Source organism: Homo sapiens, chromosome 22 (genome assembly GCF_000001405.40).
Source record: "Homo sapiens chromosome 22, GRCh38.p14 Primary Assembly".
Lineage (NCBI taxonomy): Eukaryota > Metazoa > Chordata > Mammalia > Primates > Hominidae > Homo > Homo sapiens.
Genome location: NC_000022.11, coordinates 44,050,218 through 44,066,061, shown reverse-complemented (window position 1 = coordinate 44,066,061; position 15,844 = coordinate 44,050,218). Strand labels below are relative to the sequence as shown.

The 15,844-nt window shown below is 50.6% G+C and overlaps 1 protein-coding gene across 5 annotated transcripts in view, besides 3 other annotated features; it reads right to left on the bottom strand.

Moving 5' to 3' along the window:
* Positions 1 to 15,844, bottom strand: part of PARVB (parvin beta) — a 173,729-nt gene that overhangs the window by 106,878 nt on the left and 51,007 nt on the right. The window lies entirely within an intron of this gene.
* Positions 1,638 to 2,137: an enhancer, noted in NCBI's record as "H3K4me1 hESC enhancer chr22:44459805-44460304 (GRCh37/hg19 assembly coordinates)". NCBI's record gives its function as "activates a minimal SCP1, AML or CMV promoter by ChIP-STARR-seq in naive H9 embryonic stem cells {active_cell/tissue: H9 hESC(naive)}" and the evidence as "EXISTENCE:reporter gene assay evidence [ECO:0000049][PMID:30033119]".
* Positions 10,024 to 10,524: an enhancer, noted in NCBI's record as "H3K4me1 hESC enhancer chr22:44451418-44451918 (GRCh37/hg19 assembly coordinates)". NCBI's record gives its function as "activates a minimal SCP1, AML or CMV promoter by ChIP-STARR-seq in naive H9 embryonic stem cells {active_cell/tissue: H9 hESC(naive)}" and the evidence as "EXISTENCE:reporter gene assay evidence [ECO:0000049][PMID:30033119]".
* Positions 13,552 to 14,432: an enhancer, noted in NCBI's record as "NANOG-H3K4me1 hESC enhancer chr22:44447510-44448390 (GRCh37/hg19 assembly coordinates)". NCBI's record gives its function as "activates a minimal SCP1, AML or CMV promoter by ChIP-STARR-seq in naive H9 embryonic stem cells {active_cell/tissue: H9 hESC(naive)}" and the evidence as "EXISTENCE:reporter gene assay evidence [ECO:0000049][PMID:30033119]".

Here is a 15,844-nt window from a genome sequence, read left to right as displayed (position 1 = left end):
AGAGCAAGGCTTCCTTTAAAAAGAAGTAGGAGACTACTGGGTATCTACCCAAGGGAAAAGAAGTCATCAGACAAAAAACATACTTCACACACGTTTATAGCACCACAATTCACAATTGCAAATATATGGAACCAATCAAATGCCCATCAATCAATGAGTGGATAAAGAAATTTCAGTGTATACACACACACACACACACACATGCACACACACACACACCATGGAATACTAATCAGCCATAAAAAGGAACAAAATAATGATATTCGCAGTAACCTGGATGGAAATGGAACTGGAGACCATTATTCTAAGTGAAGTAACTCAGGAATAGAAAACCAAACATCGTATGTTCTCACTCAGAAGCAGGAGCTAAGCTATGAGGATGTAAAGGCATAAGAATGATACAATGGACTTTGGGGACTTGGGGAAAGGGTGGGAGGTAGGTGAGGGATAAAAAGACTACATATTGGGTGCAGTGTACACTGCTCGGGTGATGGGTGCACCAAAATCTCACAAATCACCACTAAAGAGCTTATTCATGTCACCAAACACACCTGTTCCCCAAAAACCTGTTGAAATAAACAATAAAGAAATAAGAAAGAGGTGGGAGGCTGGGCGTAGTGGCTCACACCTGCATCCCAGCACTTTGGGAGGCCGAGGCAGGAGGATCGCTTGAGCCCAGGAGTTCGAGACCAGCTTGGGCAACATAGAGACCCAGCCTCTAAAAAAACAGAAAATAAATAAGATGAGGGAGAAGGTAATAAAATATAATCTTCCTGGACAGACTTCTCCTTCTGAGAACCCCCACCCAGAAGCTGCCCTCAGCACCACTATGGTACCACCACGTCCCCTGATTCATCTGGGGAAGACGAAGCAGATAGACAAAGGGTCCCCACAAAACCCCAAAACTAGTCAGTGAGCACTGGGGGAGCAGTGGGAGAAAGCCAAGTTTCCAGGGTCTCAGTGGGGCACATGGGGCAGGCTGGGCTGGCCCCACATAAGCTCTGAGGACCTCATCCAATGCCATTCAAAGTAAAACCCAAAGAAATGACACTTTCCTTTCTTCACAAAAACCCTGTACATTTCCTCTTGGTTTCATACAATCAACCAAACCTGGGGATCAGTGGAAAGAACTTGCAAAGGCCCATCTAGCTCTGAGAACCCTCATCCTAGAACTATCCGGATTAATGTTCTGCTGCTGTTGTTGCTGTTAGACAGGGTCTCACTCTGTCACCCAGGCTGAAGTGCATTAGTGCCATCACAGCTTGCTGTGGCCTCCACCTCCCGGGCTCAAGTGATCCTCCCACCTCAGCCTCCTGAGTAGCTGAGACTACAGGTGCATGCCATCATATCCAGCCAACTGTTTGTTTTTGTTTTTGTTTTTGTTTGTAGAGACAGGAGTCTCACTTTGTTGCCCAGGGTGGTCTCCAAATCCTGGGCTCAAGCGATCCTCCAGCCTCTGCCTCCCAAAGTGCTGGGATTATAGGTAGGAACCACATATAATTACCTGGAGTAATGTCTTAAGGCCAACGACCTCTCCTAGGCCCACAGGTGAGAACTGCCCCTTCTTCAAGGTCACGTCCTTTGGCCTCCAAGGACGTGAAGCATCAGAACTTGAACACTGACCCCAGCCTCTGGGGAACTCGGCCAGGCCCTTCAACAAACGCGAGTCCACACACATTTCCTGCTCTGAGCTCCTTCCTGCTTTCCTAACATTGCCTCCACCTGGGCACGGCGCATGCCTGTGTTATTCGTCTCCACAAAACACGTGGAAAGGAAAAGGGATCCAAGGCCCCACGGCCACGCTTCCAAACAGCTGGGTTTCGGCGTGACTATAACCAGGTGATACGGCTGGCTGCACCGAGGGCTGGTGGTCTCGGCAGGAAGGAAGACTGGCTGACGTGGCCAGCATCACACATGCGATCCCCAGCATCTTAACAGAGCAGGATATTCCACTCCCCAGGCCCCAGCACCACCCCAACACCAGCCCTCTGCCCTTGCATGGCAGCATGGCAGGGCATGAGACAGGTGAAGGCGCCACTGACCACACAGAAACCGAGGAGGAAAGCGATCCCAGGCCTCTGGTATCAAAGGCCGCACCGCACCCCATCCACGGAACACCTGGCCCCGAGAATGGGAAGCCGGGGAGGCCTGGGAAGTGACACGGAATGTGGCAACAGAGAGCACATCGGCTCGGCCAGAACTGGGAATCCGAGCTGGCCTGGTCATTGAGAGCTTCTCACATGCCCTGGAGGAAGTCATCTCCCAACTCATCTGTACCAGGAGCAGCTGCCTGATCCCAAGGGGCACAGACCATGCCCTCTGTGAGTGTGGACCCCCAGCACCGAGCAGGCCACGAGGAGTGAGTGAACTGGACAACCACACATACTCTGGGGATCACTGTGCCCCGGAAATCACTCCCCAACCCCACTAACCCCACACCCTGCCTGTCAGGCACCCTCTAAACCACGACGCTGAGGACGGAGACCACAGGACACACCGCAAGTGCTTGTAAAATAATAAGAAATATTCATATTGGGCCAGGCGCGGTGGCTCACGCCTGTAATCCCAGTACTTTGGGAGGCCAAGACAGGTGGATCACCTGAGGTCAGGAGTTTGAGACCAGCCTGGCCAACATAGTGAAACCCCGTCTCTAATAAAAATACAAAAATTAGCCCAGCATGATGGTGCACACCTGTAGTCCCAGCTACTCAGGAGGCTGAGGCAGGAGAATCACTTGAACCCGGGAGGCGGAGGTTGCAGTAAGCTGAGATCACACCACTGCACTCCAGCCTGGGTGACAGACCGAGACTCCATCTCAAAAAAAAAAAAAGAAAAGAAAAGAAATATTCATATTGGTCTCTGCCACCAGTCCCTGGCACACAGATCCTAAGAACCTTGTAATTTCCAGGTGCCAGGACAATCTTTTGTTCTAATATTTAGTCTTTGACCCTGGTTCCTGACACAAAGTTCCTAATCCCTTGGAATTTCCAGGGAGATAAAAGGATGTTTTATTCTAATGAGGTGACTCTTGGTGGCTCCTGGGTGGGGGCTGAGCACCAGAAAGACCCAGACACAATTAGAAGCCTGGAGCTTTCAGCTCCACACCCCCCAACCCCACCCTCCAGAAAGGGGAGAGGGGCTGGAGATTGAACTAATAACCAGACATGCCTACATGATGAAGCCTCCGTAAAAATCCCTGAACTACAGGGTGCAGAGAGCTTCCGGGTGGGTAAACACATCCAGGTGCCAGGAGGGTGGCACACCCCAACTCCAGGGCAACAGAAGCTCCTGTGCTGGGGGCCCTCCCAGGCCTCACCCTGTGTGCCTCCTCCTGTTCTGCTCACCTGCACCCTTTATCATCTCCTTTATAATAGACCAGGGAGCACAAATGCAGTGTTTCCCTGAGTTCTTTTTTTTTTTTTTCCAGACAGGGTTTTGCTCTTGTTGCTCAGGCTGGAGTGCAGTGGTGCGATCTCAGCTCACTGCAATCACCACCTCCCAGGTTCAAGCAATTCTCCTGCCTCAGTCTCCCGAGTAGCTGGGATTACAGTGCCCACCACCATGCCCAACCAATTTTTGTATTTTTAGTAGAGATGGGGTTTCACTATGTTGGCCCGGTTGGTCTCGAACTCCTGACCTCAAGCAATCCACCTGCCTTGGCCTCCCAAAGTGCTGGGGTTACAGGCTTGAGCCACCGTGCCTGGCCCATTTCCAAGTTCTGAGTCCCAGCAAATTAATCAAAACCGAGGAAGCAGTCGTGGGGACCCTGATTTGGGGTGCAGTCTCGTGGGGCTGAGCCCTCACCTGTGGGGTCTGAGGCTCTCTCCAGGTCGATGGTGTCAGAATTGAACTGAACTGCAGGACACCCAGCTGGTGTCTGCTGGAGAACTGCCAGGTGCGGCAGGAAGCATCCCTGCACCTCTGGTGTCAGAAGTCTTACCCTGGGCAGTATGTGAGCAGAGGGAAGGAACAGTTTGCAGGTTCCTCCTACAGTGCTAAACAAATAATTGTCAAAGTACAGTCAATCGCCTTGATTCATGGATTCTGTATGTGTAAATGTGTCTACTGGCTAAAATTTGTAAGCTCAGAATCAATACTCTTGGCCTACATTCATTCACAGACCTGCACACAGAAGCAAAGAATCTGACTGGGTGTGGTGGCTCACACCTGTAATCCCAGCACTTCGGGAGGCCAAAGCGGGTGGATCGCCTGAGGTCAGGAGTTCGAGACCAGCCTGACCAATATGGTGAAACCCCGTCTCTACTAAAGATACAAAAATTAGCTGGGTGTGGTAGTGCGCACCTATAGTCTCAGCTACTCGGGAGGCTGAGGCTGGAGAATTGCTTGAACCCAGGAGGCAGAGGTTGCAGTGAGCCGAGATTGCACCACTGCACTCCAGCCTGGGTGACGCAGTGAGACTCCACTCAAAAAAAAAAGAATCTGAGTTGCCGGATGTGTCCCCACCTGAGGTCAAACACGGGGCGCTCTGCCTTCTTGTCTGAGGTCTCACATCATAAACAAGTGTCCATTTCATGGTCTATTTAATGCCATGTTTTTCACATTTTTCTGCTATTTGTTGGTGACTTCACTGTTTTGGTTTGTTTTGTTTTGTTTTGTTTTGTTTTGTTTTTGAGATGAAGTCTTGCTCTGATGCCCAGGCTGGAGTACAGTGACGTGACTTCGGCTCACTGCAACCTCTGCCTCCTGGGTTCAAGCAATTCTCCAGCCTCAGCCTCCTGAATAGGTGGGATTACAGAAGCACACCACCATGCCCAGCTAATTTTTTTGTACTTTTAGTAGAGACTGGGCTTCCCCATGTTAGCTAGGCTGGTCTCGAACTCCTGACCTCAGGTGATCTGCCTGCCTCGGCCTCCCAAAGTGCTGGGATTACAGGCATGAGTCACCGTGCCCAGCCAACTTTGCTGTTTAAAATGGGTCCCCACGCGTGGCGAGGGGTACTCCTAGTGTTCCCAAGTGCAAGAAGGCTGAGGTATGCCTTGCAGAGAACGCACAGGTCAGAGAAGCTTCATTCAGGCAGCACTTATACTGCTGTTGGCCGTGAGCTCAATGTTAATCAATCAACAATACATTTTAAATAACGTATCTTTAAAAAGAAACATATATAAGAAAAAGTTATGTATGGATCTGTTGCTGAAAATGTTGTGACCAGAGGCTCGCAGGAACCGAGCGCTGTACTGCCCTAGGAGTGATGGCTCAGTATTGGCTAACTTGGGGTTTGTGGCAACTTTATAGATCAAAACCACCATGAATAATGAGAACTGGCTGAGTTTAAGAAGGAATGAACTAAACCCAGCACCCCACTCCAGCCGGCTGATTAGACCTCTTCCCATCCTGCTTGTTTTCCCTTCTTGAGCAACATCAAACTATGAGACCTCTCCTTCGCCTGTGCCCAAAGAACCCGGGTGTATTCCACCTTTTGTCCAGATATTAATGCCGAATGTAGTTGGGTTACTAGATGACATTTACCCAGTTAAGTCCCATCAGGTATAACTCACCCTAAGCTCCGGTTGCCCCACTACCTGACCTGACACACCAGGATTTTTAGAACCTCAAAGCTCCCAGCTTCCACCATCTTTCCACCAGCAAGTTCTTCTGGCTCAATCTCCCTTTCTGCTGCTCAAACATTTAAAAGTTTCCTATTGAAAACGATTCCCTTGCCTCAGATCTTGGGACTAAAGATGGTCCTGTGACAATCAACCATGAAATTCTTTTCTTTTCTTTTTTTTAGAAAGAGTCTCTCTCTGTTGCCCAGGCTGGAGTGCAGTGGCAGAATCTCAGCTCACTGCAACCTCCACCTCCTGGGTTCAAGTGATTCTCCTGCCTCAGCCTCCCAAGTAGCTGGGATTACAGGTGGCTGCCACCACACCCAGCTAATTTTTTGTATTTTTAGTAGAGATGGCATTTTACCATGTTGGCCAGGCTGGTCTCAAACTCCTGACCTCAGGTGATCCACCTGCCTTGGCCTTCCAAAGTGCTAGGATGACAGACATGAGCCCCCACGCCTGGTCTCAGCCATGAAATTCTAATACAAAAGGCCACCTTACATTTCAGAGTGCCCTTTCCGCCTTCCCACAACATAGGAAAGAACATTTCTCCCGATAGCAAGCAGAGAAAGCATCGTGGTAGAGAAACTGCCACCTGGGTACCTCACATCCCCCTTCCATGATGCTGAGCAAACACGCCCCGCCAAAGACGACGAGTGCTGTTTAAAACCAAATGACAGCAGGCTTTGCAAGTGTTTAATAACACATCTTCTGTGCCTGTCAAACAAGCCAAGTGAGACTTTTTAAAGGAAAATGTGTACGGCATCTTTCTTTATTAAGCTGAGACAATCAACACCACGTACGTGACACCTGAATGTACACCCAACATTCACATTTTGTGGCAACAGGCATCTCTTCTCCCCTGTGAATGAGCTTGGGATACCATACCGGTGCCTTCTACTTCTCGAGGCTGATGGAGAGTAGCATTTATGCAAAAGGAGTACATCAGAAAAACTGCTCCTTACCTTATGGCTGACAAATGGAACAGGATGAAATGACTCAGCAGAAGTCAACCTAAAAGGGCTTGTCAGTGTGCAAGCTGTGGGCACTGTGCAAACACAAGCCTCACGGTGTTTTATTAATCCAAAGAGAAGAACAAGTCCTCCTCCCCTTTCCCATCAAGACCTAGAACAGTCTAATAACTAGCCACGGGGCTGGGCACAGAGGCTCATGTCTGTAATCCCAGCACTTTGGGAGGCTGAGGTGGGTGGATCACTTGATGCCAGGAGTTCGTGACCAGCCTGGCCAACATTGTGAAACCCCGTCTCTACTAAACATACAAAAATTAGCTGGGTGTGGTGGCGGATGTCTGTAATGCCCGCTATTCAGGAGGCTGAGGCAGAAGAATCGCTTAAATGTGAGAAGCAGAGGTTGTAGTGACCTGAGATCGTGCCACTGCACTCCAGCCTGGGCAACACAGCAAGACTCCCTCTCAGAAAAAAAAAAAAAAAAAAAAAAGCCACAGGGTGTGCAGAACTAAGAAGATACAATCAACTCTGCTTCTGTTTCCCCCCCCCATCACACCCTCATCTATGAAAGTAATAACAAGAAGGGTGACTGAGTGACCATAACTAGTGGGTTTTAGTCACTAACTGAGCACCAGGTACTGTGGGTTGAATGGTGTCTCATCCAAAATCCACGTCCGATGGGCGCAGAGGCTCATGCCTGTAATCCCAGCACTTTGGGAGGCTGAGGCAGGTGGATTGCCTGAGCTCAGGGGTTCAAGACCACCCTGCGCAACAGAGTGAAACCCCATTTTTACTAAAAATACAAAAATTAGCCAGGTGTGGTGGCAGGTGCCTGTAATCCCAGCTACTCAGGAGGCTGAGGCAGGAGAGTCGCTTGAACTCGGGAGGAGGAGGTTGCAGGGAGCCAAGATCGTGCCATTGCACTCCAGCCTGGGCTACAGAGTGAGACTCCATCTCAAAAAAAAAAAAAAAAAAAAAAATCCACGTCCACCTGGAATTGGACAACTGGAGAATGTGCCTTATTTGGAAACAGGGTCTTTGCAGATGTAATCAAGTTCGGATGAGGTCATACTGGACTGCGGTGGGCCCAGCTGGTGTCCACATGGGAGAGAGAAATTTGGATGCTGACATGCAGAGAGAAGACCATAGGAAGACACAGAGGGGCATGAAGGGGGACACCTGTGACAATGGAGGCTGACTGGAGTGACATGGCCACAAATCAAGATATGCCAGGACTGCCCACCGTCCCCAGAAGCCAAGAGAGTCAGGAAGGATCCCTCCCTGGAGACTTTAGATGGAGCAAGGCCCTGCTGACACCTTGATCTTGGACTTCTGGTCTTCAGAGCTGGGAGAGAATAAACTTCTGCTCTGTAAGCCAGCCAGTGTGGGGTACTCTTTTATGTCAGGCCTAGGAAATTAATGCAGATTTTGTATTATCTCAATTTATTATTTTCAAGAGCCCAGTTAGGCAGGTGCCTTCCTTTCCTCCACTGGACAGGGGAGGCAACCGAGGTTCAGGGAAGTTATGTCCCTTCCCAGGGTACACCCCAGACAGGAAAGCAGGCAGGAGGATGAAGCCAGGTCTAGCGGCTCTCAGCCCCACCCCTCTCAAAGAGCCCAGGCTTCCAGCAAAGCTCATGCCACACTGGGAGGCTCCTGGTCCCTGCTTGAGCCGTCCAACCTCCCCTCAAGGCAAGCATGAACCCACAGGGCTTCCCAGGACCTAAGCTGTGGGACTGGGGCTCCAGCCCCCTCTCTCTCCTCTCCCTCCTCTTCCACTCCCCTCCCCCACCAAGCGGGTGTCTGGTGCTAGACTGACTCCTCTCTCAGTCCCACAGGTGCCAAGTGCTGAGACACCGGGCCCCCTGCACATCTGGCAAGACAAACCGTGAACTGCAAGTGGGCCTCCTGCTATATCCACTGGTCTCCTGAGCTGACCTAAGGCAGGCCTCCCCCGAGACCCAGTCCACCCAGAGTGCGGATAAACTCAGGCTCCAAAACCACCCCTGCCAAGTCACAAGGGCCCCCCTTGGACAGCTCTCAGGACACAGCGTCCCAGCTCTCCTCGGGCCTCGCTCTTGGGTGAAATCCAGCATGAGCCTCTTCCCCCACTTTTGGATTTTTTGCGAGCACGGAGATTCTTTTTAGAAGCTTTATTGCTCTACAGTCACTTCATTAGTTCTAGAACCAAATAATCCCATTATATATGACTCGACTGGCTCATAAAATTATCATTCATTCTAACAAATATTTATTGAGCGTGCCACATGTGCTATGCTTGGTACATCACATTTTTAAAAAATAATTTACTTAGCTAATGATCACAAGTCCCCTAATTTAATTTACTCTTAAATGTGTTTAATTTTCCCACAAATGGAACGACACGCTTCTAAACTGAGCATTTTTGTCAGGTTGAGACACGCAGGACAAAAAAAAAAGAGAGAGAGAGAAAGAGAAACTTATCAGCAAGAAAGCCTTGGAACAAAAACGCCCCCAGCTCAGCCCCCAGCTCCACCCCCAGCTCAGCCCCCAGCTCCACCCCCAGCTCAGCCCCCAGCTCCACCCCCAGCTCAGCCCCCAGCTCCACCCCCAGCTCAGCCCCCAGCTCGGTCCCAAGCCTCTAACCCCTGGGCACAGAGCAGGTGCCATTTCCAGACATTTTATACAGTCACCCTCACCACCTGAGAGCTATCATCATTACCTGATTGAGAAAACTGGGGCACAAAGGCCAGATGAGGTGGCTCACACTTAATCCCAGCACTTTGGGAAGCTGAGGCAGGAGGATCACTTGAGCCCAGGGGTTCGAGGCCACCCTGGGCAACATAGTGAAACCCCATCTCAACAAATAATTAAAAAATTAGCCAGGTGTGGCTGTGCACGCCTGTCGTCCCAGCTACTCAGGAGGCTGAGGTGGGAGGATTGCTTAAGCCCACAGGGTCGAGGCTATAGTGAGCCGTGATTGCACCACTGTACACCAGCCTGGGTGACAGAGGGAGAACCTGTCTCAAAAACAAAAACAAAACGAGACAAAATGAAAACAAAACAACAACAACAACAAAAAATCTGTGGCACAGAGAGGTAGAGTAATTTGTCCGATCTGGTTCAGCAGGCAGGAAATGGCGCAGGCAGAATTCGAACCCGGGCAACGCTGCATCCGTGTGTGTGCCCTTCACCCACCTGCTCCCTGCCTCTTAATTAAAACTCAGCAGGAGGAAATCCACATGCAACTCAGGCACAGAATCACCCCTCCCAGGTGACAAAGGGACGGTGCTCCTGGTGTGGGATCCCACACGGCCACACAGCAGAGGCAGCGGTGCCCCAAGTAAATGGGGCTGTGCCCCAAAGCTAGGCTACTGCGTAAACTCGAGTCATAGGACAGCACGCACGGTGGGGCTCCCGTCATATTGGGGTCAAAGTCGGGCAAAACTAAAGAAAGTGAGGGACAGAGATGCATGCGTGTGCAAAACGCAAGGAAAGACAAGCAAGTGGGGCAGGGCCTGCTGACTAGCTGCCTGGACTGGGTGGGGAGCGGCCTGGTGCTTGGCTAACCATTATTCTGGGCGTGCCTGTGAAGGTGTTTCTAGATGAGGTTAGCATTCGAATCGGTAGACTGGGTACAACAGATGGCCCTCCCCAGTGCGGATAGGCCTCGGCCAATCCATTTGACACCTGAATAGACCGAAAGGCAGGGTAAGGGGATTCACTCAGCTGGGACGTGGGTCTCCTCCCGCACTTGGGCTGACGCCATTGGCCCTCCTGGGTCTCCAGCTTGAAGATCCTGGGATTTCTCAGTCTCGTAACCACATGAGCCAATAACTTATAATCAATCTCTTCAAATATATATATATATAGAGAGAGAGAGAGAGAGAGAGATGGATAGAGACAGACAGAGAGACAGGCTGGGCGCGGTGGCTCACGCCTGTAATCCCAGCACTTTGGGAGGCCGAGGCGGGCGGATCACGAGGTCAGGAGATCGAGATCATCCTGGCCAACATGGTGAAACCCCGTGTCTACTAAAAATACAAAAATTAGCCGGGTGTGGTGGCCAGTGCCTGTAATCTCAGCTACTGGGGAGGCTGAGGCAGGAGAACTGCTTGAACCAGGGAGTCAGAGGTTGCACTGAGCCGAGATCACACCATTCCAGCCTGGCGACAGAGTGAGACTCTGTCTCAAAAAAAAAAAGAGACAGAGAGAGCTACATATCTCCCATTGGTTCTGTTTCTCCAGAGAACTCTAACTAATACAACATGCTAAATGCAACGTTCAAGGCGGCACTGGTCACCTCTGGTGGGGAGGGAGGCGCACAGGAGGTACGGGGCATATGGCTCGGGGAACAGGTAATGTTATTTCTTAAGCTGGATAGCAGGAACGTGGGTACTTCCTTAATATTAGTCAGTAAACTATACATATGTACACTCTTTTGTATGTGTAATGTATTTCCCAGTATTTTTTTTTCATTCTTTCAATTGTAGTAAGGTACATTTAACATAAAATACATAAAATTTCTCACTTTAACCTTTTTTTTTTTTTTTTTTTTTTGAGATGGAGTTTCACTCTTGTCGCCCAGGCTGGAGTGCAATGGCGCAATCTCGGCTCACGGCAACCTCTGCCTCCTGGGTTCAAGTGATTCTCCTGCCTCAGCCTCCCGAGCAGCTGGGATTACAGGCGCCCACCACCACACCCGGCTAATTTTTGTAGTTTTAGTAGAGAGGGAGTTTCACCATGTTGGCCAGGCTGGTCTCAAGACTCCTGACCTCAGGTGACCTGCCCACCTCGACTTCCCAAAGTGCTGGGATTACAGGTGTGAGCCACCGCACCCGGCTACTTTAACCATTTTTAAGTGTACGGTTCAGTGGCACTAAGGACATTCACTGCTGTGCCACCATCGCTGTTATCCGCCAAACTCTTTTCTTCTTGCAAGGCAGAAACACTAACTCCCTGTCCCCTCCCTGCCCAGCCCCCAACCCCTGCCCCTGGCAACTGCCATTCCACTTCCTCTCTCTATGAGTTTAACTCTTCTAGCTGAGGAGCTCATGCTGTAATCTGAGCACTTTGGGAGGCCAAGGCGGGAGGATTGCTTGAGCCCAGGAGTTCGAGACCAGCCTGGGCAACATAGCAAGACCTTGTGTTTACAAAAGAATTTAAAAGTTAGCCAAGCGTTGTAGTGCGCGGCTGTAGTGCCTGCTACTAGGGAGGCTGAGGTGGGAGGATCACTTGAGCCCGAGAGGTGAGGTTGCAGTGAGCCAAGATTGCATCACTGTACTCCAGCCCTGTCTCAAAAATAATAATAATAATAAAAGATGTTGGGGCACTTTAGCCTCAGAAAACAGAATCTCTCTAACCTTCTGCCCTCCTTTCACCTGCCCAAGGCAGGACTCTCATCAGATTGTAAGTAATGAGACCCTCACTCCAGAGAGGGGCCCCCACACCTTGGAGGAAGGAAGGCTGCACAGATAGGTCTTGCAGGGCCTCCCCAGTCCATCTGTTAGTGTTAGATCACACCCTTGCTGTCCAATCCTATTTCTACATGGCTGTCAATCGTGCATATCCAATGAGGCTCCATAAAAGGCCCAGGAAGGCAGGATTCAGGGAGCTTCCAGAGACTGGATGCTTGGTTTTGGCAAAGTGGCACGCCCAGAGAGGGCATGGAAGCTCTGCACCCCTTTCCCTACACCTCACCCTATGTATCTCCTCATCTGTATCCTTTGTAATATCCTTTATAATAAACCAGGAAATATAAGTAAATGTTTCCCCGAGTTCTGTGAGTCACCCTAGCAAATTAATTGAACCCAAAGATGGGGCTGTGGGAACCCTGACTTACAGCCACTGTTCAGAGTCTTGGGAGACTGAGCCCTCACCCTGTGGGATCTGATGCCATCTCCAGGTAGGTGGAGTCAGAACTGAATTGAATTGAACTAGGGGACATCCAGCTGGTATCCGCCAGTTGGTGCAGGAAAAACCCACACATTTGGTCACTGGAGTCTGTTAACTGTTGTTGTGTTGCTGTGAGTCTGGGCTTTCCCAGGCATCCCCGCTACCTGTACGGTGCCCTAACACCCATTCAGGGCAGCGCTGTGAAAGCCACAGGGAGCAGCAGCCGAATCCTTTAAATGCCCATCACTGAGAACTTCTAGAAAATGTAACATCAGGCTGGGCGCGGTGGCTCATGCCTGTAATCCCAGCACTTTGGGAAGCCAAGGAGGGCGGATCATGAGGGCAGGAGTTCGAGACCATCCTGGCCAACATGGTGAAACCCTGTCTCTACTAAAAATACAAAAATTAGCTGGGCGAGGTGGTGTATGCCTCTAATCCCAGCTACTCGGGAGGCTGAGGAAGGGGAATTGCTTGAACCCAGGAGGCAGAGGTTGCAGTGAGCCGAGATCACACTAATGCACTCCAGCCTGGGAGACAGAGCAAGACTCCATCTCAAAAAAAAAAAAAAAAAAGATGTGTAACATCATACAAAGATGTGTGTGTGTTATTTAAATTGTTGGTTTAAACCATAGATTGGCAAACTGCAGCCAGTGAGCAAATCTGGCCCACCACCTGTCTTTTTGGGTGTTTTGTTTTGTTTTGTTTTGTTTTTTGAGATAGGGCTTTGCTCTGTCTCCCAGGCTGGGGTGCAGTGGCACAATCACAGTTCACTGTGGCCTCAACCTCCTGAGCTCAAGGGATCTTCCCACCTCAGCCTCCCAAGTAGCTGAGACTACAGGTGAGCACCAACACACCCAACTAATTTTTGTATTTGTTGTAGAGACAGGGTCTTGCTATGTTGCTCAGGCTGGTCTTGAACTCCTGGGCTCAAGCAATCCGCCTGCCTCAGCCTCCCAAAGTGCTGGGATTACAGGCATGAGCCACCACACCCAGCCCCCCACCTACTTTTGTAGCTTCAGGGGGACGCAGCCACGGCTATGCTTATGAACTGTCTATAGGGGCTTTCATGCTTCCAAGGCAGAGTTGATTCATTCCTACAGAGGCAGGATGGCTCACAGAGGCTGAAATATTCTCTGGATCTTTACAGAAAGAGATCGCAGTTGCTCAATGAAGAACATTCATAACACAATGTTTTGACATTTTCAAGGGGTGGGAAGTTAGCACTGGGGTGATATCAGGAACACAGGTAGGTTCGGCATTCCCAGAATCAGGTGAGGAGAGCAGGCCCGGGCCTTCTTTCTCCCGGTGCTGTCGAACCACAATTTATGCAGGTCCAGCCCTGCCTGCCTGTGTTTGGCATTCACACCGCCTCTCAGGGTGACGGACTCTCATGTTGCACTTCCAGCTTAATTCTTTTAACTTGATTTCCAACTGTGACCTTCAAGTTTCACTCACAACCCTTACTGGCAGGAGAACCGCCGAGGCAATTAGAAGATCAAAGGCCAGATGGTGACTGTATTCGCATCCTGTGGCCACCTTAACAAAGTACCTCAAACTGGCAGCTTAAAACAACAGACGTCGATTCTCTCCCAGTTCTGGAGGCCAGAAGTCTGAGATCAAGGTGTCGGCAGAGCCGTGCTCTCACTGAGGGCTCCAGGCGAGGATCCGTCCTGGCCTCTTCCCAGTTTCTGGTGGTGGCCATCAGTCCTCGGTGCATCTTGGCTTGTGGCAGCATCTCTCCAATCTCTGTCCAGCCTCTGTGTCCCGTGTCTGTCTGTGTCCTGCCTCCTCTCCCCATAAAGGCCCCAGTCACATTGAATTAGGGGCCCACCCTACTTCAGACAGGCCTCGTCTTAAGCACATCTGCAAAGACCCTATTTCCAAATAAGGTGACAGTCCCAAGGGCTGGAGACTAGGACCTGGACATACCTTTTAGGGGAACACAAACCCCTAACAGAGACCTTCACTCAATTTCCTCCCATGGTCCCTTCCTGCACTTCTGCACAATCCTCTCCCCTCATTGACACAAACCAAGCGCTTCCCGGCATTCGCCTCATTGGTTACACACAGCGCCGACAACAGGAAGGGCTCCTTCCAGCAAGAAAGGTTGGGGTGGTTATCTCCTTCCTTTTCCTGCTGTTGCTAAGCAGGCCACCAGCACAGCCTTGCCCACCCAACACTATCACCTGCTTGTCTCTCCACAGAGACATGGTCAGAGCTGGGACTGAAGGGCTTCACTGAGGCCAGCCAGGCGCCAGCCACAGAGTCACAGGCTATCTACAATGGCAGTGTGGCCAGCCGAACAGTCCCCACCTCATCATCAATCCCCCCAGCGCCTACAAACAGACGGGGTGACACAACAGCTTTGCAGGGCTCCCCTTCTCTCTTCGTAAGAATTGTTGATATTTTTCAGTTGGGAATTTGCAGCTGCAGAGCACAAGTCTTTGACGGCATGGCACCTGTCAAATGAGACCTTTTCCACGAGCTGGTGGTAGGATTTTTACGGCTGCCTAACTACTCTGTCACGGGAGATCTCTGCTTCTGCCCCCATGGCTGTTACTCAGCACAGATGCTGCTCTTGAAGCCCGCAGCAGTGAGGGAGTCTCAGGCCTCCCGAGACTCTCTTAGGAGATGAGACAACAGGAGCTAGGCGCCCAGTGCCTGAAAGGGGTGTCCCTGTGGCACAGGCAGAAATACACACCCGGCTCAGCCCCCGCCTCAGCTTCTGTGCTCACATCCCCACCCACTCTTCTCCTCCTTCAAGCTCCTGGTGACGGGCTGTGTGCCCTGACTTCATACCTGCACTTTCTCCCAGGTTATTGCATTTAATTCCTCAAATAAGACTGCAAGACAGGTGAGAGAGGTGTTGCCATCAGCACAGTGTTCAGAGACAATGTGTCTAAGCTGAGCTCAAGGTCACTGAGCTAACAGGGGACAAGTGACCCCAGTCCTGTCTCTCTAACTGATATTGCTACCCCACCAGTCTGCAACACATAGAAACTTGAAGAGTGCAGGACTGGCCAGGCGCAGTGGCTCACACCTGTAGTCCCAGCACTTTAGGAGGCTGAGGTGGGAGGATCACCTGGGGTCAGGAGTTCGAGACCAGCCTGACCAACATGGAGAAACCCCATCTCTACTAAAAATACAAAATTAGCATGGTGGCAGGCACCTGTAATCCCAGCTACTTGGGAAGCTGAGGCAGGAGAATCACTTGAACCCGGGAGGCGGAGGTTGCAGTGAGCTGAGATGGCGCCATTGCACTCCAGCCTGGGCAACAAGAGCGAAACTCAGTCTTAAAAAAAAAAAAAGGCCGAAAGGGGTCACCTGTAGGAATGTCTTGTTTACTAACAGTTTAAGAAGGAAAGAGGACAACAAACATACCTCAAATCTATGGTGTGGATTCTGTTTGCCAATCCTTGCTTTAGATAACCACTGGGA